Below are 26,969 nucleotides of genomic sequence, written 5' to 3'. Positions count from 1 at the left end.
ATAGAGCATCCTGCATTTGTAAATCAGTTTGCTCTTCCTGTTTAAAGGGGGCTAGGGGACACATTTCTGAGACATTTCAAATTTTGTTGCATGTAACCGGTAGCTGGTGGAAAGCATGCCCGTATGAACATGCATCCAAGCTCTATCATGGATTAAAGAGATCGTAGCAGAAAAGGACTATGTTCTTTTCATTCTAAAGCAAGAAAAGGCCCTTTACTGTGATTAAGAGTTGTCCTTGCCCAGATATATTTTCCATTCAGTAAATCAGAACTTGAACTGGGGAGAATTCTTCCCGTTAGTGTCATCCTATCTGCCTCCCATTGTTCGTCACGTAAATGCTAAGTTGAGATTGATGGGCTTATAAGGGCTGTGAATAACATCACCTAATGTTAGTGACATTCATAAAGAGCTTCGCCATTTCCAAAGATTTTCACTTAAATTATCTCAGCAACAAATTAGAGAGACTCACCTGAGGTCACTTGGCTAGTGAATATTTTAAAGGATATTTTGAAATCAGGCGAGGACTTTCATAGCTAGAAAAATACTGTTAAGTACCCTTCATATACACAATAATACTTAACTCAGAATATTATTGGATTCTGCTTTTCTTCCTTGTGTTACAAAATATTTCCATTTTCCTAATTAAATTTTATTTTTTTATAAAATTAAAAAAATCCCATCTCATGAGCAGAAGGGCTAATCCATTTTTTTCAGTGAGAAATTCCTCATTTTTAATGATATTGAAATATTTAGCAAAATAATACCTACAGAATGTTAATGTTTAACGATCTTAATTTCAAGGCTTACTATTCTCTCCTAAGTGCCTTTTGTATCAAACACAAAAATTATTTAAGACAGCTTTGAAAGCAAAGTGCTTCCTAAAACTTATATAAAATCACCTGTGTATTATGTTTAAAGTCAGACTAGGCCAGGCATGGTGGCTCATACCTGTAATCTCAGAACTTTAGGATGCCAAGGGGGGCAGATTGCTTGAGTCCAGGAGTTTGAGATCAGCCTGGGAAACATGATGAAACCCCATCTCTACAAAAATTACAAAAATTAGTCGAGCATGGTGATGTGCACCTGTAGTCTCAGCTACTCAGGAGGCTGAGGTGGGAGGATCGCTTGAGTCAGGAGGCAGAGGTTGCATTGAGGTATGATCGCATCATTGCACTCCAATGTGGGCAACAGAGCAAGACCCTGTCTCAAAAAGAAAAAAACAAAAACAACAACTACAAAAAAGCAGACCGGCTCTGTGCTGCTTCTGCTTCTGCTTCCTGGGTCCTTGCCCAAGATTTGTTGGTTCTCCTGATGATCTAGACTGTGGGGAATGTATTAATCTTCTCTCACCCCGATCCTCATCTATAAGATGGTAACCACAGAGTGCATGTTCCAGAGGGTTTCTGTGATGAGTAAAATAAGAATGCGAAACCCCCAGCCTGGCACAGAGTAAGCCTCAGGGATGCTAGCTCTTTGAGTTAATATTGTCACTTCACACATTTCCTGTCACTATTGCTTGAATATTATTATTAATATACTTCAGAAATGTGGTTATTAACTAACTAAGCCCTGAGTCACCGGTGTGTGTGTGGGTCTTGTGCCTGCCCCTAAGCTCACTTGAATACCTAACTGTGTAGTTTTGTATTTTCTATTGCCTCATAATAGGTGACAAAAAAGCCTCAAGTGACAAAAGCCCTCACTTCCTCATTCTCAGGACAGGACCAGCTGAGGAAAGGGGCAGTCCCTAAAAGGAGGTTTATTCCTCCTGCTTTCAGAGGAGTGGCTGGTAGACTGATGGCTCTTTTATTAGTGAAGGTAAGTCATGCTGTCTTGTAAGAGCCTTGTCTGTGAGAGTTAGGAGCCAAGAGAGAGGCAAATCGATCCTTCCACCATTTGGGGAAGGGGAGATATGGAGGACAGTACACACATTGTAAGGCTTTTTAATCTTCTGGTATCTAAGGAAAGAAAGGAAAAATCTGTTGTTCCAGTTTATGTGTGAATCCATGCTCTTCTAGGCTCCTGGTACCTCTGTTTTTAACCCTGAAGACACTATATCCTTACAACCATCTTGTAAATAAATATCGTGCTACATCAAAAGAAAAATATAACTAACCCTATATTAGAACATCATGGACAATACGTGATTGCATATTTTCTCAAAAGGATGAAACAGAAGAGAAAGGCAAGTATTAATGCTAGTGTATATGTGACAGCTGCCTTATTCCACAGTCAGTCTTTAGAGGCTGTCATTTATGACGTGTCTCCCGTGAGTGAGCTTTCCCTTCCCTCCTCTGTGCCATTTGCTGTCATGTTAAACCTGGAATTAGTTTGGTGTTCTTGCCTCGTTTCCTTAGGAACCTTTCTGAGGAATTTGTTACACAGGAAATTATCGTCCCACAGTTAGGAAAGCAATGCTACAGATGAACAATGTTTTGACAGAATATTCAAAATTAAATTGCATACCATACCTTAGCAGAGTTGAAATATCTTAATGTATATTTTCTGGAGAACGTTCTTTATCATCTAAACAGGGAATATGAAAATGAAAATTGAGTCTATTTTTTCTTGTAAAAAAATCACAGTAAATTTTTCTCCAGGCAAATGATCCAGCTGTCTGGGGTAACATTTAGACATGAGATTCAGAATCTTTTTAATTACACTAGTTAATTGTTTACCCTTTATTGCATCATTAATTGCCAACCTTGTTGGACCAGTACTCTGATGACTACTCTCTCACAGCTTGGCTGATAAATAAAGGCATGATTCATTCATTTTTTCCCCATACTCTTGACATTGATGGTAAGAGCTGTGCAGTTATAAAAAACGTTAAAAATTCAGTCTCTTGCTCTCTGGCTCAAATGTAATGCAGAAGTGGTCTAATTGACCACAGTTGTCCTAAGTGGTCTAATTGACCACAGTTGTCCCTTGGTATTTGAGAGGGATTGGGTTCCAGGATCCCCATGGACACCAAAATCTGTAGATGCTCACATCCCATATTTAACATGGCATAGTATTTGCATCTAACCTATGCATGTTCTCCCATGTACATTAAATCATCTCTAGATTACTCATAATACCGAATACAAAGCAAATGCTATATAACTAGTAATTAGGCTGTATTTTTAAAATTGGTGTTTAATTCTTATTGTCATATTGTTATTTATTATTATGATTACTATCATTATTATTTTTATATTTTCGATCCTCAGTTGAATCCATGGGTACAGAACCTGTAGATATGGAGGGCCAACCATATTAAGTTTGAAATTTCTTCCTCAAAGTTTCCATAGTTTTACAAATTTATATATTAGTGAATGGCATTATTAAAAATTAAAAAAACAGCTTTAAGGTACTTTAATATAATTAAGATAATATGCAAAATACTGGAAATTAAAATACTATTATTAGAAAAAAAGTAAAAGGATGTTATGGAATAATACCTTTACATGAGAAGCATTATCATGGCCTTAGGTAACAGGTGGTCAGAAAGCTTGTCCTTTCTTTCAACATTTTAACTAATTGGTTGAGAAGTTTTTGACTCATGATTTAATCTGTTTCCCCATTGCTTTCGTATGTCAAGTATCTTGTTTTTGACACCTTTGTAATGGAAAGGATTGAGAAGGGGGATGATGATCATTGAACATGAGTAAAAAATACATTTAAACATGGCACCCAAGAAAGTAAATATATTTGGTACTTCATGATAGGGAGATTTGAATGTAGAAGATCTGTTTTAAGAGCTAGAAGTAACAGTGTAAGACAGCTAGCAGGAATAGTTTTCCAAAAATAATCCTATAGATGGAGAAAGAAAAGAGGAGGTGACTTTCATCCCATGAATGCACATTGGACAACAGAGAGCTTATTTTGAACCGAGTGTAAAATCATACCAGTAGTATTCATATGTGTATTCAATACATATCAATTAAGGAAAGGTGTGGTATAGGTAAGACACTGTGCAAGTCACCAAGTCTACCCTGGTGAGCAATGTAGACCTTGTTCTTGTTCCGGAAGCAGTTCAAATTATTCATCAGACGTGTCTTCGTATGTTCAAAGTGGTATGCTAAAGGAGGCGCAGGGACCATCTGAGAGGGCTTCACTTAGCGAGGGCCCTCTGCACAGAAAACTGCAGGGCGGGTACCATTAGCTAGGAGATGGGGCATGTGCGTGGAGCACCAGAGAGGCCAGGGGCCACAGGAAGAATGGAAAAAGTGCTGACTAGCTCCATGGTAGAGTGTGAGGGAGGGGAGGCTACAGATGCCAGCAGGCGCTGTGCTGCTGAAGAAGAAGAGATTGGAGTGTATCCAAGGGCATTGGGAAACTACTGAGCGCTCTTAAGAAGATGCAGCCTATGATTTGTTGTTTTTGAAAGATCAGTCTTCTGCGGCTTGAACTGGGGGTCAGGAGACAGCAGCACTGTAGGAAGGAAGGTCACTTAGGAGATTCTTGTAATTAGCGAGACAGAGGAGAGCAGAAGCCACACCAGATGGGGCCTGTAAGGGTTGAAGGAAGAGGACAAAGGCTTCTGGCTGCCACAATGGACAGGACTCTATGGATGTTAATGAAAGGAAGAACGAGGAGTTGCGAAGGACCCTGACCCTTCCAATGTAGGCAAGTGAGCAGCAGGTGGTATCATTTCGTAAGACGGGAGAGGCAGACAAACAAGTTTTTGAAGGGTGATGGTGTGGAGTTCAGTTTTGTACATATTAGATTTGAGGTGCTTGTGGGATCCAACTGGGGTTAGCAAATCTTCATTATATACCCCAAATATGAATATTTTATTGCTATATTATGTATATATAAATACATTAGCACTAATGTGCATGTATATATTTATGCACATTCAGTATATATACAAAATATTTACATAAGATGAGATAAAGCTGAAGTAAGCAATATTTTAAAACATTTTTGCCTATGAATGATATATAATATCTTTTTTACTTAAATAGAATGGATTAAATATAATAAATATTATATTAATGATAACATGTTAATTATCAGCTTGAAGGTAGAATAATAGGATTGAATATCCATCATTATTTCTAAAATCTTAGTTTAATATTTAGGATAAAGTGCTTGGAAAATTTACTTGTAGGTTCAGTTCATGTCACAGTTTTGGTTTCAGTACCAGATATAATAGTTTAAAAGATAATCACAAAATGTGTAGTTCTAAATGGAAGGACAATATGGACTTCATGAAATCATTAGACTTTATTTTAATGATGTCCACAAATTATGAAAAATTTTTTTCCTCAAACAATTGAAATGCGATTTTTGAATTCCCATCTTCCTTAAAATTAACTGTCTTTACAAACTAAAAGAATGTTGAATTTTTGCATTATTATCAAATGAATTTAAACCGAAGCTAAACTCTGGAATATTTTGAAATATGTTAGAAAGTTCTCTGTCTGGGCAGAGATGAGAGGTGGCATACATTGTTTTCAACAACAAAATCCCAGGGGCTGCAAATACGCGCAAACATCTTGTTACAAAATACTCTTTCCAAAGCTTAAATGTCTTCCCTGAAATCAGTTACTGTCATTTCTACCTCATCATTATATAATCACCTTTCTCAGAAGTGCCGTTGAGTATGTTTACATTTCAAGCTTGGTTCCAGATTTTTTACTCTTTTTTCTATTGAATCACAGCACTACTCAGTAATTTTAGAACATGTCTTTTTTTTTCTTTTTTTAAGAAAAATAGTTTATTTGTACTTTGACCTAAGCCAAACCAGCGAAACTCTGCAGGGCCCAAGATGTTGCCATGACTACATTCCATCTCTGCAAATTATTATACAATGCTGCTATATTTTAATATATTATTTCTTTAAGTTATGAATAATTGCCAATCTTATTAAGTGCCGAGGCTTACTTTTTAAGAGTTTTAATCTTATTGATTTCTTTAGTTTCTCAAGGCACAGTATACATGTACGGTAAAGTTTATGGTTAGCAATAGTCAATGTAATCCAGAGGTCAAATCGTCTTCTTGATCATTTGAATTTTTAAACTGTCTGTTTTTCAGGTCTGGATGAACTATCTTGGTTTTTACCTTGAAATGTGGATAATGAAAATTTCTTATTCAGAGTAGGAAAAGTGTCAGCATTGCGATTTCTTCTTGATTTATGTGTTTCTATTTTGAGGACACTCTTCAGTCCCAGTTTCTTTGCAGGAATCTTTTACAACTCTGGTTATAAGGAGCTCCTTTAATCCGCACAGCCAGAGTGAGGTCAGCACTGTCAGCCCATGCTCTTTGCGGAACATCCTATTTCCCCCAGGACTTTCATTTTTCATGTAGGACATGGGATTATCTGAGATAAGGATGGGGTGAAGGTACCATTTTAATCCACATATTAAATATGAGTAAGTCTTAATTCCATTCATAGTTTAATACAAAAGGCAAAGGAAGACATCTCTGCACACACACATGCGTCAGTGGCACATCGCATTCTTTGACCTCCCTTTGGAGGCCTGTGGTGCAGAAGGAGCTTAAATATATGGGAAGGGGTGAGATCACACGGAGAGAGTGTTTGGAGGGAAAAAGAGGAGGGATGGAAACACTCAACAACAAGAATCCTCCCCCCGCTCCCCGAAATTGATTAAAACATGGCCAAAGGGCTTGAATAGATATTTCTCCAGCAAAGATACACAAATGGCCAAAAGACATGAAAAGATGTGAAATATTTCTAATCATCAGGGAAACCCAAATCCAAACCACAGTGAGTTACCATTTTCCAGCCATTAGGTTCGCTGTCCCAGAATCAAAAAATAGCAAGTGTTGGCAGGGATATGGAGCGATTGGAACCCTTGTGCATTGTTGGTGGGAATGTAAAATGTACAGCCACTGTGGAAAACAGTATGATGGTTCCTAAAAAATTAAACATACATTTTATACATAGATAATTACCTTGATATTATTCTTAATATATTCAAATAAACAACGACATTTAAAGGAACGAAGGATACAGTGGTGATTGGCCTTTGGAAGACAGATCTTTGGGTCTGCACATTGTGAAGTCCCCATCTTTCCAACTGGAAGATCATTCATCGAGTTAGATTGCTGGAATGCACAAGAGGCGGTAGAAAGGGAAATGGGCCAGAGACAGCTGGGCCGAATTGTTCTCAGTGTAGTTTTCCTACTTATTTGGTGAGGGTTCCGGGTGTAATAATGGCACTCTTGGGTTATAAAAAGGTAATCTTCTGCGAGTTAGGGTTGTGAGTTAGGGTTGGCATCTGTTGCCAGACTTTCTTGTTGTTACTTCCTGCTAAGCCCGAATGTGACATCAATATCCTTTCAACGTAGTGATACTGTGCATGAATTGGAAGTGTTATACATCTTTGGTACAGATGATAGTGCATAAAGAGAAATTTAAAAAATCGTATGTACCCTCCTATTACAATACAAAACTTATAGACTGCTGTGAATAAGTAATTGTAAAAAGTATAGAAATGCCAACTTCACTGATGAGGAAAACCATGTAAACCTGTCATCCGTGTTTATGGAGCAGCAGAATTTTCAGACACGAGTAAACTCATGATCTTTTTTTCATAAATTGTTCTGAAGCAACAATAATACTTAGATTTGCAGTTAATACAGTTGTCTTAAATTTAATTATTATTAATTATAATAATATTAAAATGCAAAAAGGAGGTTCTCTTCATAACATGGCCCTTAAATATCAGTGCCTTTGTCTGAAAGAATTTGAAGATCTGATTTTATTTCACCACTGGAAAAAAAATCATGAGATCCAAAAGTTATTTCATTTCTATTGTGGGAGTATATTTATGTCAACATTTAAATGTCAGGTTCTCCACAGTATTTTCGGTCTAGAAAATTTCTGAGGCATGCACATAGTTATTATGGTGTCTGTGGTATATGTGATCAGAGTCACAGGCTTTGACTGACCAATGCAGTTAGAAACTTTATTCGTTACTGCTCAATATTGGTGTTTCCTAGGTATAGTGTAGAACAAATATGGAAGCTGGATGTAGGGGTATACTTATTTCACATCCATGTCATTCTCACATCCTCCAAAGTGCTTTCTTCACATTGCTTTGTAGAAATAATGGGTGATCTCTCTGGTATTTCATATGCCTTTCTTTCTGACCTTTGCTTGTCTACTTTTGCTCATTTGGCTAGCTATAATATGAAATGCAGAGAAGAGGGGGCATGTTCATGATAGGCTATTTTTGGAGCTCTTCTAAGATAGACAATGGATACAGGTTTTATTGAACTTTGGGTCAGAAAAAATAAAACAGTGCACATAATCTAATAGCTTAAAGAGAAATGTCCTTGTCCAGGTAATGATTCATGTATAACCAAAATGGTGAAATTGGTACTGTCCCCCCAAGCTGATCTGAAACCATGTTTTTATTTGTATAGATTGAGGTATTAGTTATCAAGTGAAAATACAAATCCACATCTGTTTTTTGTAGGTTTTGAGAAGGTGAACAAATTGTTAAGCCATTATTGTTTTATTTGCTTCTCCAAGCAGAAATATATCTTCTCTGAAAAGAGATACTGCATTGGAATATAGTTAAAATAAAAATCATGTTTGTTGCTGTGGGAGATTTGTGTGTGTGTGTGTGTGTGTGTGTGTGTGTGTGTGTGTGTATAGATATAGATATAGATAGATAGATAGATAGATAGATAGAATTTAATATGACTCTCTACCTATTCTGAATTTCCTCACAGTGTTCTTCTCTTTGAAAGAAAAAAAAAAAAAAACAAGTCAGTGGCTCAACTACAAAAAGCACTCTATTTTCTGAGTGATTTGATTTAATCAAATTAAATGAGATGAGTTCTAGAAGCACACACTGATGTATGAATGCAGTTGCAGCTGCCGTGCAGGGCCTGACCTGAAGCCTTTTCTGTGCTTCTGTGACGTGGTTTATGCACTTTACTGTAGTCACTGCAGATTAGAACCACACGCAGTAACGTGGATATGGGCCAGATAACAATAACAAAAATTTGGAATGTCAGTGCTACTAAAAGGGACCTTCACTCAAATTACTCGTAAAATTTTTTTTCAAAAAGAAAGATAAGATTGCATGGCTTAATAAAAGTGTTACCGGCACTTTAAGCTGAAAACTGCCCAAATGAGAAATAATGTGAAATCGAACTCACAAGTCCCTTTGGTTTACTCTAACTGTGAGATCCCTGTCACCTGTGAGTATACATTGGCACAGCCAGCTTCAGGGTAGAAGTAGGTTCTGACTGAGGGACAAAACGCTTCCTACCGCTGACGGCTGCAGTTTTGTACAAATAAAAATACAAGAGTATAATATTCCCAGAAGAGTTTTTCTTCTCATTTTTGTGCTAGAAGACATGTTTTTAATCGCCCTTTCCAAAATTTACCCAACTTAAATTTTCTTAAAATTGTAACCAGTAATTATAATACCACTGTTTTTCAATTCAGTACTACATTGACAAAGAAACATTTGATGTATCTCATTTTTAGGTGGAAAATAAAGCAGAGTGTTTTTAATAAAATGTTCGTGGAATAAAACTAGATTATTGATTTGTGGGGCAAAGATTATATCTATATTAACAAACAAATATAAAAACAAACAAAAATGAACAGCGATTATTTAAAAGCAGACGGAACGAAATTGATCTAGAGGTGGCTGGTGCCTGCTGACCCGGGAAGGTGGGTTTGGTTGGCTGGATTCTAACACTGCCCGATGGCCAGACCCATGTTGGGATGTTTGTGGGAAGCACTGGATTTAGCTCCAAGGAGAGGGTCTGTTTGTAGCAATCCTGCAACAAGCCGTCTGACTCTGACAGATGCTTTTCCTGCGTACCTGGTTGGAATGACCTGAAGGAAAGACATAATGAATTAACGAGGAATCCTTCAGATCTTTCAGGTCAGATGAACCATAATCTAGTTGAAAAGAAAAAGAGAAAAGAAACACGCTAAGTAAATCTGCAAGTTTAGTTGAGAAGACTACAAGGAGTATCAGCTTAAGAAAATGCCTTAATGTTTAACAGACACTCCATAAATGTTTATTTTTGCGTTTCTAAGATGACTCAAATAATATTGATTTGATTGGTTAAAACAAGTATATTACAATATTTGTAGTTTTAGGAGTCTGTAGTCATAAATCCTAATGCAAGAGACTGTGTTCAGCATACAGCTTGGAAACCTAAACATAGTAGGTGCTAAATCTTGTAAATAAATGAATGTACATGGACCAGTAGTCGAAGGCATGCTGATTTCACTCAACATGGTAACTTGCTTTCTCTCCTCTCATAATTTTCTACCACTTGTATAAGGACTTGCTTTTCTCATAAACTAAGACCTACCCTGTGTCAGGCAGGGTGCACAATTCACTCCATATCTTTTCCCAGCAGTCCTTTGAGGCCAATGATGCCTCTCGTTCCAATGAGAAAACTGAGGCTAAGAGAGTTCGATTAGTTTCCCCAAGGTCATGTAAACAAGGAAGTGAAGCAGAATATTTAATTGAAATGTTTCTGAATCCAAATCCTGCCTCCTCTTCAGAAGGAAAAGTTCTCTTTGTGAGTTGACTGTGGTCTTCTCCACTGGTCTTATGTATGTTTTATGCAGGCACATTTCACTCTGACATCACCCACTGTAATGCTAAAAGGAGTCTGCTAAACTTACTGAAAAGTGTTTATAAGCTGCATCCTCTTTTTCTAAAAAATAACTTTTCATTCTGCTTCACCATTCAGCCTGGAGCCCCGTTGGCGTCTTCCTCTTCATACTGGACTGTTATACATGATGCCTTTTCCCGCTCTTTCATGCCCCTCTCTTCTGTTTTAAGCATGCACATGCTATTGGGTGGGCTTGGCAGCTCTTGAACTGTGGGCATTCCTGAGGAACACCCTGTCAGCTTGTGTTGTTGGTTGAGTGACTTTGAACTCTGGTAGGAACTACACACACACACACACACACGTGCACATGCACACACACACAAATACATGCACCTATGTTCTGGCACCTACACAGAAATGGACTAACTCAGAAAGACCACTTTTCAGGGATCTCAAATGAATGTTCCGTCTCTTTCTCTGCTTTTCCTCAGTCTAAGATATTCTTCTCCAGGCTTCAGTAATGTGGCTCCCTTTAAAAGACCATCAGCTGGATAGTTTTACTCTTTAAGAAATAGTACTCGTTATAAGGCTGGGCATGGTGGCTCACGCCTGTAATCCCAGCACTTTGGGAGGCAGAGGTGGGCAGGTCACGAGGTCAAGAGATTGAGGCCAGCCTGACCAACATGGTGAAACCCCATCTCTACTAAAAATGCAGAAATTAGCTGGGCGCAGTGGCGGGAGCCTGTAATCCTAGCTACTTGGGAGGCTGAGGCAGGAGAATCACTTGAACCCAGGAGGTGGAGGTTGCAGTGAGCCGAGATGTTGCCATTGCACTCCAGCCTGGGTGACAGAGCGAGACTGCCTCACAAAAACAAACAAACAAACAAGAAATAGTACTAGTTATAGTCAAAATATGGATACATTATTGGCCTTTGTGATAACTGCTTATTAAAAGGTTTATGAAGTTTCTCCTCTTTTCACAGATTTTCATGGGTGAAGAACTTTATATTAGTGATATGTGGAGTTGATTATGTTCTACAAGTACAGGAATTTATTTATTTTCCATATCTTCCCCACTTTTATTATGAAATAATATTTCCAGCAGTTATTGAGCGAATGCTCTCTGTGAAGTGCTTTTTCTATCATGATGCATAAGGATTGAGGCCTAATTATGGATTGAGACAAGAGATCAGATTAAGGACAGAAGATTCTGATGACAGATTATGCATCCGTTCTTTAAAAGTGAATGAGCATCAACTTTTTTTCTGATGTCACATGACATTTGATATGAAAAATGTCATTTCACCAATCAAATAGCATTATTCATTTAGGTTAGGTTAGAGAAGAAAATTATATAGAGACACAAGATATTTTAGTTAAAATACCCTTTACTCGGACATCCAAAGCAGACCAACATTCTCACTTTGCAGCTGAGGGAATTTTGGAAGGTAGATTTTAGATCACCTATCACATAAAAAAAACAAAGCCAAAGCTTGTTAGTAACTATAACGCATTCCAAATTTTGTTTACTTTATATTGTTTTAAGAACTGATAACTGTGTTTTATTTTTATGAAGCTGGTTTATTATTAGTAGTGTTGCCTTTCCTTTCTAAATATCCAAAATACTATTGGAATATAAACTAACAAGTAACTAAACAACAACAAAAGCATTGTAGCTACTAGATTCGTGGTTTGGGATCATGTCCTAGTATTCGGGAAAGGTGGAAAGCATTTTAGTACTTTGTCTTCTACTTTCACACATCTGACATTGGCCAGTGAAGTGGCAAACTGAAACTCGTAAGAGCAGTGGTGCAAAGCAAACATGATTTATGACTACGCAGCGATGGAAGAGCCCAGTCCATACTCACTGAACACCACGTGCACCTGCATGCTCGTCAGGATTCTCATCAAAAACAAGCTGCACTTGCAGTTCTGGCTTCTTTACCTGGAATTTTGTGATTACCTGTATTTGTATAGACAGAATGGGGGAATCTTCTACACATGCATAATGGAGCTGAGAGACCAATGATTTTCTGTCTGAATCAGTTATTCAAATTCCTCAATCTGGATTAGTACAGGCCAGAATTTCCTGTCTAGACTATCAGACTCATGACTTCTGTTCTTCCCTTGATTTTGTGTTCTCCAATCTGAGGACCATTTCCCCAGGCTTTGTATTGATGAAGAAAGAATTCCATTACAGCCTTAATCCAACCACGCATCATCCAAAATGCAGGTAGCTAAGAAAATTAGGGGAGAAAATAGCTTTAGGGAAATTCATCTATTCATAGTTTTTTTTCTCATTAATTTCCTCCTTCCACAAATACTTTTTGCAGGGGCTATGTTAGGCACTAGAGTCAAAACAAATATATCTAGGGGTCCCTATATTAACAATCAGACAATTTAGTGATATGGTCCCTATATTAACAATCAGACAATTTAGTGATATGGTCCCTATATTAACAATCAGACAATTTAGTGGAAAGCAGATGGATGGAATTATGTGCTTACCACACTTATTTTAATATGTGGTCAATATAATATGGAAATATTCATTTGTTTATTCAACAAACATTTATTGAAAGCCATCCATATACCATGAGCTGGTACACAGGATAAGGAAAACAGGAACAGCCTTTGCCTTTAAGGAATGATGGGGACCAATAATAATAATAATAATAATAATAATAACAGCAATGGTAATATTGAAAATTTTCTAGATGCCAGCACTACAAGAAACACTTTACATGTATTAAATCATTGATTTCTCCCAACAGCCTTATGCAGTAAGCATTACTATTATCCGCATTGTGCAGATGAGAGCACTGAAAGCAAGCAGGTTAAATCACTTGCCCAGTATCACACAGCTAGTAAGCAGCATAACCAATACTCAAACTCAGGCTGTCAGGCTCCAAAATCTGTATGTACTTGTCACACGAACATATATAAAATTGTGTCAAGAGAGGAGCATGAAAGCTCTCTGGAAGGTCACAGAAGGCCTCTTTGAAGAATTAACCTTTGAAAGATTTGTAGGGCATAAGTTGGAGAAGGGAGAGTACCAAGGCCTTCTGGAGTGGGAGCGGAGGCCACGGGGGTTACTGACCAAAGCCAGTGAGACCAGAGCACAGAGGACCTTGGCAGAGGTGAGCCTGGAGGGGTACGCAGAGGCAAATCCAGACATGGGTTCTTGGCCGTGGTGAAGAGATGTGCCTTCAACCTAAGAAAACTGGGAAATTGTGGAGTTGGCATGATTTTGCACGGAGAACAAATGTCAGCCAGGGGCAGAGGGGCTCCTGGCAGGTAAAATGGGGGATTATTGGACTTACCCAGGTGAGAGAGGATGGTAGTGTGAGCAAGGGTGAGGGTCTTGAACTCAACAGTTCAGTGACCACAGTAAGATGGAGCTTTTAATTGAATTAGAGTTCTCTGTTGAAGAAGAACTCCGCAGAGAAGTAGCAGCCACACTAGGCCTGAAAGGCAGGGGTTTGCCAGACAAATGAGGAGGGTAACTGACTATTCTAAATAGTGGAAAGAGGTAGATACTGATGAGGAAATTAGGGTAAATTGAACTGTTACAGTAAAACTAAACAAATGCTTTTGACAACAGCATTTCCCATGGTCAGCCGTGTCCAAGCACATTTACAGAGATTCTCATTCTCAGCAGACCTCAGCAGTACCCGATTATTTTTTATGGCTACTGGCAAACACATTATTGAAACCCAACTGAAGGAAGAGCAGACTTTCTCAGAAAAATGAATTAATACTCACACCCCATGAATTTTTGGTTTAACTATAGCAGCTTAACTGACCATTTCAATCTTTGGGTTCATCTTTTAAGCTAAATTTTTCCTTGTTCTTTTTATATTTAACGATTTTCCTAAATCTTCATATCTTTCCAGAATGCTAATTCAACTTATCCCTTTAACTCTAGTGCCAAAATTTGGAGGATTTTCAATCACGTTAGTGCTAGAATAAAAAGAAACGTGAAGTAGGTTATAAAAAGAAGGATCTCAGCACTTTTACAGTATTCATGATTTATCAACTGCAATGCTGAGATTTTACATGGCTGACTACTTCTGTGCTGTAACACATTAACCTGCTTATATGATAAAGCAGTAGTTCTCATTTTGGGGTGTGTAGTGGAATCCTCTGTAGGCTCATTAGGCCATAGATTCCTGTACCTCACTCTCCAGGATTTCTGATTCAGTAAGTCTTACATTTCCATTTCTAAAAAGTTCTCAGGTGCTGCTGCTGCTGACAGTGTAGAGGCCAAGCTTTGAGAAGCAGTAGTGGAAAAGGTGGTTTTCTCAAGCCTGGGAGACAGGGCCAGACTCTGTCTCAAAAAAAAAAAAAATACTTTTGCATGACATCAGGCAACAGCTTGGGTTGGAGGGATGGTGTAGCTCCACCACACAAGTGCATTTTCTTAAAAAGGAATGGAAGTCAAACTGGGCTTTATTGTTTTTGCTGCAGAAGGTCAGTATGATGACCCTATTTCCTATCTACTCTGCCACTTTTATAACAAGAGGCTTTTTATTAAGTAAAAAGTGAGCTAGCTTTCTAAGGATGCATGCTTCTCAATGATACACATATACATTTTCTAAGAGAGAGACATAGTTGTGATTAATTTTATGTTCACAGGAGAGCATAGAAGGTATGACAAAAGGAAATACATTTGTATATCACCATTGTCCACATCTGTTGTAATTTTAAAGTTATTTTGGGGATTATATTGTGCCATGGCCAATTAATTCACATAGTCCTTCTAAAATATGTTTGAATGTAAATGTTAATTATTATATAATACAGATAAGTTGTTTAAAGGTTTAAGGAAGAATAACAATGACAGTATTTTACAAATACATTCAGTGATTCGCTTAAAATCTTACTTTGTTGTTAACATAATTAATGGTATGACATCATTTGGATTACACTAGTCACCCTATTATGTACTCTTTCTGTCATTGGATCTCATCCAGAGTACCACATTGCATTTAGTTGTCATATCTCCCCAGTCTCCTCTGGTCTGTGACAGTTTCTCAGTATTTCTTTACTTTTCATGACTTGACAGTTTGAAGAGTGCTCCCCAGCCATCCTGCAAAATGTCTCTGACTCTAGCTTTGTCTATATTTTTCTCCGTAATAGACTAAGGTTATGGGTTTTTGGAAAGAATTCTGCAGAGAAGAAATGTCCTCCTCATGCATCATCTCAAAGGGCGCGTAATCTCGACATGGCCTTAGAGCCCTCACGCGTCATCTCAAAGGGTGCGTCATCTCAGCATGACATTACAGTAGCATGACTTTTAGATTTCTGCCTAAAAGACATATAACTGTAGGAATCATTACTGATGCTAAGTCGCTGTACGTGCATAATTGTAAACATTTGAGCACATTGGTATTTCAGTAGTTGAAAGGTATTGGGGTATAAGTCCTCAGCAAATCAGGTAGACAATTCTCTTTCTTTTAAATATTGTTGTAATAAAGCAAAATATGGTAAACTATGTCAACAAAACTACAAATAAACAAGTAAAAAATAATACTTAAGCACTGAAATACTTTCAGTCCTTAAGGAAACATTTGTTTTCAGCTCTAGAGACCAATTTTTCCTGAAGGGCATAGGCAGTGATGGATGCACATGCGCATATTATGACTGGAATTCGTGCTTGTGTTTCTAGTTGGATAAAATTCTAAGGGAGGGAGTATGCAGAATTAATTGCTATGCATTTTGTCCACATATATGAGAATGCAGGTAGTGCCGGATGATGTTTGCCAATACCTGGAATAAATACATGGCAGGGGCATTTTGCTGCCGGGTTTCTAATATGGATTATGGACTAGATCATGAAATAACATCATATTTTGCCAAATCAGTGTCTCCTGTGGTTATTAAGCCACAGACTAGAACTGGAAAATCGCTGTAAGCAGCAGGCACTGTGACAGAAATATCAATTTAGTGAGGACTGGGAAACATGTATTTTTCATTAAAATGTGAAGCATTTAAGCACAAAGGAAAGATTTACATAGCAGATAAGAGGAAATAGATTAACTCTCCCAATATTCATTTGGAAATTGTCATTTAGGCTTTTGGACTCCCTAAACACCATAAGCTTCTGCCTGGAAGGTTTTGAAAAAATAAGTTTGCATGTCAGTACCTTGACAAGGTAGATTAGGAGCTGCCGGTAGCAAGGCTGAGGGCAATTTCAGTCTGCTTATGTGATGTACAAAAAGAGTTTGGGGTACTTCATCCTAAGAAAATGTCAGATCTGTGTGTGCATTCAATTTTAAAAATATGAGTGCAATTCAGGCAATTGGAGATAGTCATGCTCGTGAAAATATATGGTTAGCAACGAGTCCAGCTGACTATAAAATTTCTTTGGAAGAACAGGAAATTCTTGCATTCACAAAACACCACAGAATGCATCATTCATGAAACATTTATTTATTGATCTCTTACCTTATGCAGAATACTATCTGTGGCACTGTAGAGTATACAAATGATATAGACAATAAACAGTCAACCGCCAAGGAGCTTATGAATAAGAGCATAGGAGCAGAACTTCTTCCTGCAGAAAGAAGGGTACTTGGGGTTCTACCTCCTGGGTCACAAGAAATGGGCTGGGTAATGAAAAAGAAAAGCAGTGTCTGAAGCAAGAAGTCTGTAATCTTTGTCTTCAGGATTTGGCTTCCAGATTCCTTGTGGATGAATACATCGTTGGAGAAGAAACTGATAATATGCCAGACCCAATTTAGACAACTTTATGAGCAAATAACTGCACATCAGAAAGCCTAAAAAATAGATAGTGGCAAGCGCTACTACAAGGTACAGATTATAAAATATGAGAGAAGAAAGAGGAGAAAAAGAGGAAGGAAGAGAAAGAAGTGTGTGTGCTGTGTGTGTGTGTGTGAAAGAGAGAGAGTTTCCAGAGAGAGAGAGAGAGAGAGACAGTTTCCAGAGAGAGAGAGAGAGAGAGAGAGAGAGAGAGAGAATTTCCAGCTGGAGACAGCAGATTCATCTTATGGGAATGTAGTGGCAGAGCACAATTAATATATTCTTTAAGTCATTTAAATCTAGACCTTGCTCCGTGGCCAATGGGAAGTGATTAATATTTGTAAGTAGTAAAGGAACATAAATGGAATTGTACTTGTGGAAGATTCATTTGGCCAAAGTTTATAAAATAGCTTTCAGGTGTGTAGAGCATGGGGCGTCCCACCTAAGAAGTATGAGCAAAAGATCATGATGCCCTAAGTTTGGAAAAAAGATGACACAGTTGCCAGAAATGCTGCTGAGGCAGAATCTGACGAATTAGAACTAGTCATGTAATCATTAATTTGCTTAAAGGTGTTTATTGAGTGCCTGTTGTTTATGTGCCAGCCATTGTGTTAACATTGGGAGTCCAGGGTAAACATTACACCCTGCTTCATATTACTTATGCTCTAATGAAAAAGGCTTATTCAATGAAGTGATTACAAATCATTTATTTATTTGGTAGATATTTATTCAGAGCCTACTATCTTCAAGACATCAGGTTAAGCTGAGGAATTAGAGCTATAAAGTATTTACTCATGGTCAACATTACAAAAGTTACAGGTTGTCATGGGAGTATGCATCTGTAAGAGCTTGCCCACTTTATGGGAAACAGAAAGAAAATAATCCAGTGTGACTTTCAGTAGTCAGGCTCTCATGTTTTATAAGTCCTCAGCATTCTCACACTGCAAGAACATAGTTGGATCTTTTCACCCTCACACTGGAAGTCTCATATTTGCTCAACTGGATTTTTTTTTTTTTTTTTTTTTTTTTGAGACGGAGTCTCGCTCTGTCGCCCAGGCTGGAGTGCAGTGGCGCGATCTCGGCTCACTGCAAGCTCCGCCTCCCGGGTTCACGTCATTCTCCTGCCTCAGCCTCCCGAGTAGCTGGGACTACAGGCGCCCGCTACCACGCCCGGCTAATTTTTTGTATTTTTAGTAGAGACGGGGTTTCACCGTGTTAGCCAGGATGGTCTCGATCTCCTGACCTCGTGATCCGCCCGCCTCGGCCTCCCAAAGTGCTGGGATTACAGGCGTGAGCCACCGCGCCCGGCCTCAACTGGATTTTTAAGACCAATTCTGATTTCATGTGTTAAGACACAGGCAACTCCAACTCTACAATCTGCCACTCACCACCAAGTAGTCCATGCTCCCTGGTTAGGAGGTCTTTGGGACTGGGACTCAACCTCCACAAACCCCCTTCCAATAGGAGCAGCTATGTGCAGACCCTACTTCCTCCAGTGTCTCCAATTCCTGGCCAGGTGCTGTCCCCAGAAACTCCTGTAAACATGTGGCCCTGAGCAAAAGTTTTTTGGCACTCAGAGAGAACTTGGCTCTCTTTTCCCACTTTGATGTCCCCCAATCCCTTAAAAAGGAAGAGCAGCAGGTGGGCAGAGTTATTCTGGATCACAGCCCCTCCGTGTGTCTAACTGAACGGGAGCAAGCTTACCTCTCCTCAAGATGTTCCCCTAAGATTAATGCACTTGACCTAGTCAGAAAATGCTTGTTGATGTCCCTCCGATGCCATCATATACCAGAGAAGACAGCATAGAAGAAAATCAGCATTGGTTACCGTATGACCTGAAGGGAGAATTCAAGAAGGATAGGGATATACCTTTTATTTCATGTCTGTTTCTACCAACAAATATCCCCTTGAAAGCAAAGAGCTTGCCTTATTCCTTTGCATATTCATAAATCTTAACAGGCATCTAACAATAAATCTTTTTCAGGTGGATGGATGGATGGATATAAAAACAAAAGCCTTTGGGCTGCGCTACTATGATGCAAATAAACAAATGGAAGCCAGATTGCAAGGGATGGTGTGCTGAGGAGGTTTAGGACTCACAAAGAGAGGGCCCTTTGGAGGAGCTGGCAGTGATGTGGGGAAGTGCAGCGTACCATGGAAGCACCCTGGAGTGAAAAGGGTGAAATAAATCATTTAGAATTGAGCATATTTGAGCAGGAGTCCTTTAGCAGATAGATGGGATGTCCTTTATATTTGGTGATAAATTGAAAACAAATTTTAAAAAGAGGTGAAAAGGCACAGATGGATGGTTTACCCTAAAAAGGAAAACAAGGATTTCTTTAAGAGGAGGGAATTGGGAGAGAAAACAGAAGATATTTACAGGGCTTAAAATCCCGGCACTCCCTAGAGTGAATGATTTAAAGATAAGAACATTCTGAAGATATCACAGTATGTTTCTTTATATAGCTCTGGCTGTGTGTCCTCACTTGCTTACACTTCTTACATCACAGATCTCTGCTTAAGTCTACCAAAAGTTACAGAATCATCATTCTAAGTAGCACAAGGACACCACACCTATATGCATTGTTGTTTTCATACTCAAAATGTGTGATTTTGTGCAAACCACAATTTCAAGTATACTGCATTTCACATTTTTATTAATGTGAATGCTTTTTGTCTTCAGCAGTGACATATATTTTAGATAACCTTGTAATGAGGATCACATTATTTACTTATTTGTGTCCTCACCTACTTCTATTTTCATCACATATTTGCCTCTTCATTTATTGATATGGTTATTTATAGTTCATATAAATTGCTCTTGCTCTTTCCCTCACACTCACTTTTGCTCAGTCTCTTTCTCCCAAGTATGGTTAAGTTCTGAAGAGATTAAAAATACAAAAAACCCTACATTTATATTAAATTCTCCAAAATCCATATGTATAAAAAGGAAAAGGTGAAATGATAAAATGAAGTTGGAAGTGCTACTTGTGAATGTATTTGCTTGATTGGCAGACCTACGTTTTGTTTTAAATATCCCTGTCTATTCCTGGACTGGGAAGAGAGAGAGAGGTCTACGAATCAGGTGGACACACTCCGCATGAAAAGAAAATTCAACATAATTCTGTTGTACGTTTAATTTAAGGTTTTTTTTTAATGCAATACGCAATAGTTCAGCAAACTTTGTCATATGCTTGTCAATAATCTATGCTTTGTTGTCAATAAAAACTTTTGTATACCATCTTTACTGTTATATAATTCACCTATTGATATGGTTTGGCTCTGTGTCCTCACCCAAATCTTATCTTGATTTATACTCCCATAATTCCCATGGGTTGTGTGAGAGACCCAGTGGGAGATAATTGAATCGTGGGGCTGATTTCTCCCTTACTGTTCATGTGGTAGTGAATAAGTCTCACGAGATCTTATGGTTTTATAAGGGGTTTCTGCTTTTGCTTTTTCCTCATTCTCTCTCATTCCTCATACTCCATGTAAGAAGTGCCTTTTGCCTTCCACCATGACTGTGAGGCCTCCCCAGCCACGTGGACCTGTGAGTCCATTAAACCTATTTTTCTTCGCAGCCTCGTATATGTCTTTATCAGCAGCGTGAAAATGGACTAATGCATCTATCATTCAATTCACTCTTTTAAAAAGTAAGTTCTAATGTTCCATGGAGAATGGAGAATGTCTCCTGCACTTGAGAAGAATTTTCATTCTGCTGTGTTGGGTGAGGTGTTCTGTAGATCTTTGCTGAGTTTAGTTAGTTTACAGGTTTGCTCAAGTCTCCTCTTTCCCTGTTAATGTTTTGTTCAGTTCTATTCACAGAGTTAGGCAACCATCACCATAAACGCTTTTGGAACATTTTTCTCTGTCCGTAAGAAAGCCTGATATCTATTAGCAGCCACTCCCCATTTCCTTTTAATACCCCCAATCCTAGGCACCTACTAATCTACTTTCTGTTTCTAGAGACTTGCCTGTCTTGAACAATTTACATAAATTGGATGATACAGTATGTGTGGTCCTTTGTGACTGACTCCTTGATGTTTCCAAGGTCCATCAATGTTATAGTATATATCAGTGTTGCAGTCATTTTTATTGCCAAATAATATTGCATGGTATGACTATGCCACATATTTTTTATCCATTCACCAGTTGATGGACATTGGGGTTGTTCACCTTTTTGGGCTACTATGGATAATGCTTCTGTGAATATCCAAGAACAGGTTTTTGTGTGAACATATGTTTTAATTTCTCTTAGGTGTATACCTAGGAGTGGAATTGCTGAGTCAAATGGAAACTCTGACTATTTCAGGAACTGCAGAACTGTATTTTACACTTCTACTAGCAATGTGCAAGGGTCCCCATCTCTTCACATTCTCCTTGATACTTGTTATTATCTGTCTTTTTGGTTATAGGCATCCTAATTGGTGTGAAGTGGTATCTTATTTAGGTTTTGATTTTTATCTCAGTGATTGCTGGTGATGTTGAATTGCTCTTCAAGAATTTATTGGCCATTTGTATATCTTATTTGAAAAAAGTTTCTATTCAGATCATTTGATTAATTTTTGTTGGGTTATTTATCTTGTGTTACTGAGTTATAAGAGTTCTTTTTGGATCCTAGATAAAAGTTTTAAAAAAAATCAGTTACATGATTTGCAAATGTTTTCTTCCACTCTTTGGGTTGTCTTTTAGATTTATTGATAGTGCCCTTTGAAGTACAAAAGTTTTTAATTTTGATGAAATCAAATGTATCTTTTTTTTATTTTATTACTTGGACTTTTGGAGTCATAACTGAGAAACCATTGCTTCATCCAAGATTGCAAAAATTTACATCTATGTTTTCTTCTACGAACTTTAAATTGTTAGCTTTTATTTTTTAGGTCTATGATCCATTTGGAGTTAATTTTTGAGTATGATCAGAGAACATACTTGTATGACTTCCAACATTTTATATTTATTGGATTCTGTTTTATGCCACAAGACATGATGTATCCTGGAGATTTCCATGTGCACTTGAGAAGAATTTTCATTCTGCTGTGTTGGGTGAAGTGTTCAGTAGATGTCTGCTAAGTCTAGGTGGTTTATAGGTTTGTTCAGGTCCCCCATTTCCCTGTTCATCTTCTGCTTAGTTCTATCAATTATTAAAAATAGAGTATTGCCATGTCCAATTATTGTTTTTGAATTATCTTTTCCTTTTTTCAATTCTTTCCGTTTTCGATTCATGTATTTGAAGGCTCTGTTAGGTGAGTATATTTTCCACTTGTTATAGCCTCCTGATGAGATGACCCTTTTATCATTATAAAGTATCCCTCTTTATCTCTAGTAACTTCTTCTGTTGTTGTTTTCATGTCTATTTTTTCTCATATCAGTATAGCAACTCCAGCTTTCCTGTAGTTGCTGTTCGCATAATATACCTTTCTCCAGCCTTTTACTTTTAAACTATTTGTATTTTTCCATCTGAAGTGTCTCCTGCAGATACTGCATTAAAAGTTTGGAAAATCCAAAATGCGTATTAGTACTCCTTCTCTTCCAGGACCTGGATGGCCAGTAAAAGGAAGGGTCTACAGCCTCCGTGTGCGACTGGTTTTGCTGGTGGTGTAGACAGATTGAGGATGATGGATAGGGGTATTGTCTAAAAATACCTCTTCTTACCTTTGACTGAGAGTTGACAATATCATGGCAAGGTGAATTCTATCAGAAAGTCCTGTCTTCTAGTGGCTTTTAATATAAACATCAGAAAATCCATCCCTGTTCCTTAGGTACAACTCTTGTCCAGCCACAAGATATTCCCCTGAAATAGGAATCAGTGGTCTGCTGTATGAGTTTCCCTTTTATGTTTCTTTTCCACAGTTTGCAGGGTAAAAGATAATACTCCTCTAGTTTCCTTCTTTGTACTCCCCCTATTATCTTCTCATGCCATAAGCTCAAAAACCTATGTATTTTGGATACCTACATTGATTATATGTTTATATCTAAAATCCAACTAGAATAGTTAAACAATGATAGCAACAATAACAACAGCAATTTAATTAATTATTTAATTAAACTCATGATCTTGAATCTCAGCAACACAGACCCACCTGCATCTCCAGTGTCCATTCAGTGTCTATCTTATTCATGTATATGGAAGGTCTGATGGATTTATACTGATTTAATACTTTCTTCTTCTTCTTGTTTGAACCCACAAGCCCCATCCCGATGTCAGAATATAAATTTTTTTTTTTTTTGCTGGTCTTCTTTATGCACTTTGCTAGAATTTTCAACAGAAAGTTTCTATTATTAACAGCCAGTTGAATTCAGTAAGTATCTACCCTGCATGAAATATATAACACCTAGTACATGTGTAATATAATAATAATTTGTAATAAATAGTACCTGTTATATAGCCAACCTTATGAGAAAATGGGAAAACACACAAATAAACAAAACAAGTTTGAGCTTTCCAAAACTTATTTTTGAGCTTTACAACATGAAATTAATGTTACAGGAGGAATTAAATACTTTGGCTTTCCTCAGGCTGGTTCATATGTTCCATGTGTTGTTTCTTTACGTTTTAAGCTTGTGTTTATAAACCAGTCACCTTCAAGACCTATAATGCTGTTGCAGAATATAACAGTCATTTTCTATCAACTTAATTATAGCTTTGGTTTCATTGTTCACTGTGATAATTTGCTATGGGGAAATGACACATATAAATAAGCATATTTATTCAAAGCTCAGTAACTCACAATTTATGAAAATTTTACCAAGCCTATTTCATAGTGAATATCTAATAAGAAACTTGCTAATCTTCTTGCAATAAGGGCAAAAGAGAATAAGCTTTACAAAACAGATCATAATAATGTTATCCAGGCGTGGTGCTCACACCTGTAATCCCAGCACTTTGGGAGGCTGAGGCAGGTAGATCTCTTGAATCCAAGAGCTCAAGACTGGCCTGGACAACATGGCAAAACCTATTCTCTACAAAAAATACAAAAATTAGCCAGGTGTGGTGATGCATGCCTGTAGGAAGGCAAAAGTTGCAGTGAGCCAAGATGACACCACTGCACGCCAACCTAGGTGACAGAGCGAGACCCTGTCTCAAACTAACGAACCAACCAACAAACAAAAAAAATGAAAAACAACAACAAAAACCCTCTCATTATAACATGGATAGAAATTGTAGCATTATTTAGAAATTTTCAGAAAATAATACTGTTTGAAAACAGACTCCATGGCTTGATAAAAATACAAATAAATATTAACTACTTACAATCATAAGAAGTTTTACATGCTAAATATGAAATTAATTGTATAAAGTTCTGTATAAATCTATGGGTTAAAATGTACATCAATACAGAGAAGTTTGAATATTAATATTATGATACAAACTTTGTAGCTATTTTTAGAAATATTTTTTCATTGACATGACTAAAAATCACATTGCTAAGTAGACCTAAGATAAAATATGTCAATGTTGTATATTCTTTGCACATAAATCAAAAGAACCCATTTCAAGTGGTCTTTTTCACTAGTCTAAGATCAAACTGTTTTAGAATATTATAGTGGTATTATTTTGATTAGTTAACAAATACTATTATAATAAAAACATTTAATTCATTTGAGGCCAGTAGTATTTATAATGACAAAATTTACTTGGTAGTTATACTTTCTTCATGAAAATGAAACTGTAATATTTGGATATGTCAGCATTTATGCTACCTGTAGACTTTTCATTCATTTAACATACATCTAGGTGAAATGAATGAAGCTTTAGTTTTTCATGGAACTTCACTAAGATTTGATCAATTTTAAAATGCTGCTATTAATAATTCTGTTTAAGTATTAAACCCTTAATACTAACCACCATTAAAATATTTTCTATTTCTTAGATTCCATTAGTTCTTAGGTCTTATGAAAATACCAAATGAGGAAAAATTTTAACTGTTATGATAAACTTCCCTGCATATCAATAAAGACAATGAAAGGTGTTGCTATGGCTTGAATGTGTCCCCTAAAGTTAATGTGCTGGAAACTTAATTCCCATCGTATTAGGAGATGAGGCCTTCAGGAACTTATTAGGCCATGAGGGCTCTGCCCTTATAAAGGGATTAATGTCATTATCATGGGAGTAGGTTAGTTATCGCCTTTCCACCATGAGATGAGGCCCTCCCCAGATGTCTGGGCCATATTCTTGGACTTACCAGCTTTCAGAACCATGAGCCAAATACATTTCTTTTATAAATTACCCAGGCTGTAGCATTCTGCTATAGCAGCAGAAAATGAACTAAAACAGGTATAAATATACAAAAACACAAAAGCATTTAAAGTATCTGTTTTCCAAAGTCAAACACATACTTTAGGGGGCCATAAAGATTAATAATATGCATTTCCTGTCTTCTGTGAGCTCATAATTTAATAAAGAGGATACATATGCCACATACACATAGAATGTCAATCAATGTAAGATATAGAACTGTAACAGAGATTAAAAGGCACATTGGAGATTAAAAGGCACATAATCAGAGTCAAAGAAACATTTATTTCAGGAATCAGGGACATTTATAGACTGTGGCATTTAATTTGAGGTTTGATGGTTTGGTAGAATTTCTTAAGTGGACAAAAGAGAAATAACATCTCCCCTGAGGAAACAGCACAAGTAAAAACAAGTATGAAATTGTACACTATGTTTCAGTAGCAATTAATTATCCAGTGTGCCTGCAGCTTAGATAGTGTTCTGTAGGGAGATGGATGCTGCTTAAAGAATAATGCAAAGCTTAAAAGTGCCTCTTAACAGAAGCTCTTGAGTTTCATAAGGAGGATTTTGGACTCTATAGATAAATATTTCTGAGTAAAGGTGTAGTGTGTCACAGTACATCACAGGATATAATTGTGCGTTATTGATATATTAGATACATAATATACATAATTTATGAATAATATATACATAATTTATGAATAATGTATGTTTGCACATATAAGTGGAGAATTGTACAGAAGTTAATCTGGTTCTAGAGAAGAGGACAGAATAGAGAGGCAAGAGATTAATGAGAAGATTGACCAATATGCGAAAGCAACATCTCTATGGAGAGACTTTGAAGATCTAGTTCACAGAATGACTTTTTTTGCATGCAAAAAAGAAGAACAGGATGGGACAGACTTTGAACTGCATATTGACAGGAGTTTGTGACTGATGGAATGAAGTAAATGTGAGAGACAAAGCAATCTTAGAGAAGCATGATGGCTTAGCTTGGGTTATAAAAATAATGATCTGCCAATAACCAAGACAAGAACGGAAGAAGATTTTTTGAAAAATAATGTTAGCTTTATATCTACCCAGTTTAAGATGTTTTCAGGACATTTGTGTATAAATATAAAAGAAGCTATTGGAAACATGGATATCAAATTAATTAAGGAGATCAACAGAAATGTATAGACTTAGGGCTTATCTGTATAGAGGTGATGACAGGTAGTTATGGGAAAGAACCTAGAGAGCAAGAAGAAAAGAGGAATGGTGCCCGAATCTGGGAGAGATAGACTTCAGGATGGCCAGTCATTGAATGAGGGATGAAGAGACTCTGAGATAAATTGTTAGTGACAGAGAAGGAAAAGTGCTAAGGAATCATTATAAAAGGGCAGGAAAATGGCAATTACATGACTGTTTAAAAGTGTCA

General features: G+C 37.3%; 1 protein-coding gene and 1 long non-coding RNA gene across 2 annotated transcripts in view; both read left to right on the top strand.

Annotated features, from left to right (window-relative positions):
• The window catches only part of NALF1 (NALCN channel auxiliary factor 1), a 703,987-nt gene that overhangs the window by 30,280 nt on the left and 646,738 nt on the right, over nt 1–26,969 (top strand). The gene's annotated exons all lie outside the window — the stretch shown is intronic.
• Nucleotides 1,759–26,969, top strand: part of NALF1-IT1 (NALF1 intronic transcript 1) — a 48,098-nt gene continuing 22,887 nt past the window's right edge. Inside the window, exon 1 of the long non-coding RNA NR_046848.1 lies at nt 1,759–1,815. This is a non-coding gene — a long non-coding RNA (NALF1 intronic transcript 1). The remainder of the gene's footprint in view (nt 1,816–26,969) is intronic.

The sequence above is a fragment of the Homo sapiens genome, chromosome 13 (genome assembly GCF_000001405.40).
Source record: "Homo sapiens chromosome 13, GRCh38.p14 Primary Assembly".
Lineage (NCBI taxonomy): Eukaryota > Metazoa > Chordata > Mammalia > Primates > Hominidae > Homo > Homo sapiens.
Note: the sequence above shows the minus strand (reverse complement) of the source record. Positions and strands in the feature narration are given on the sequence as shown.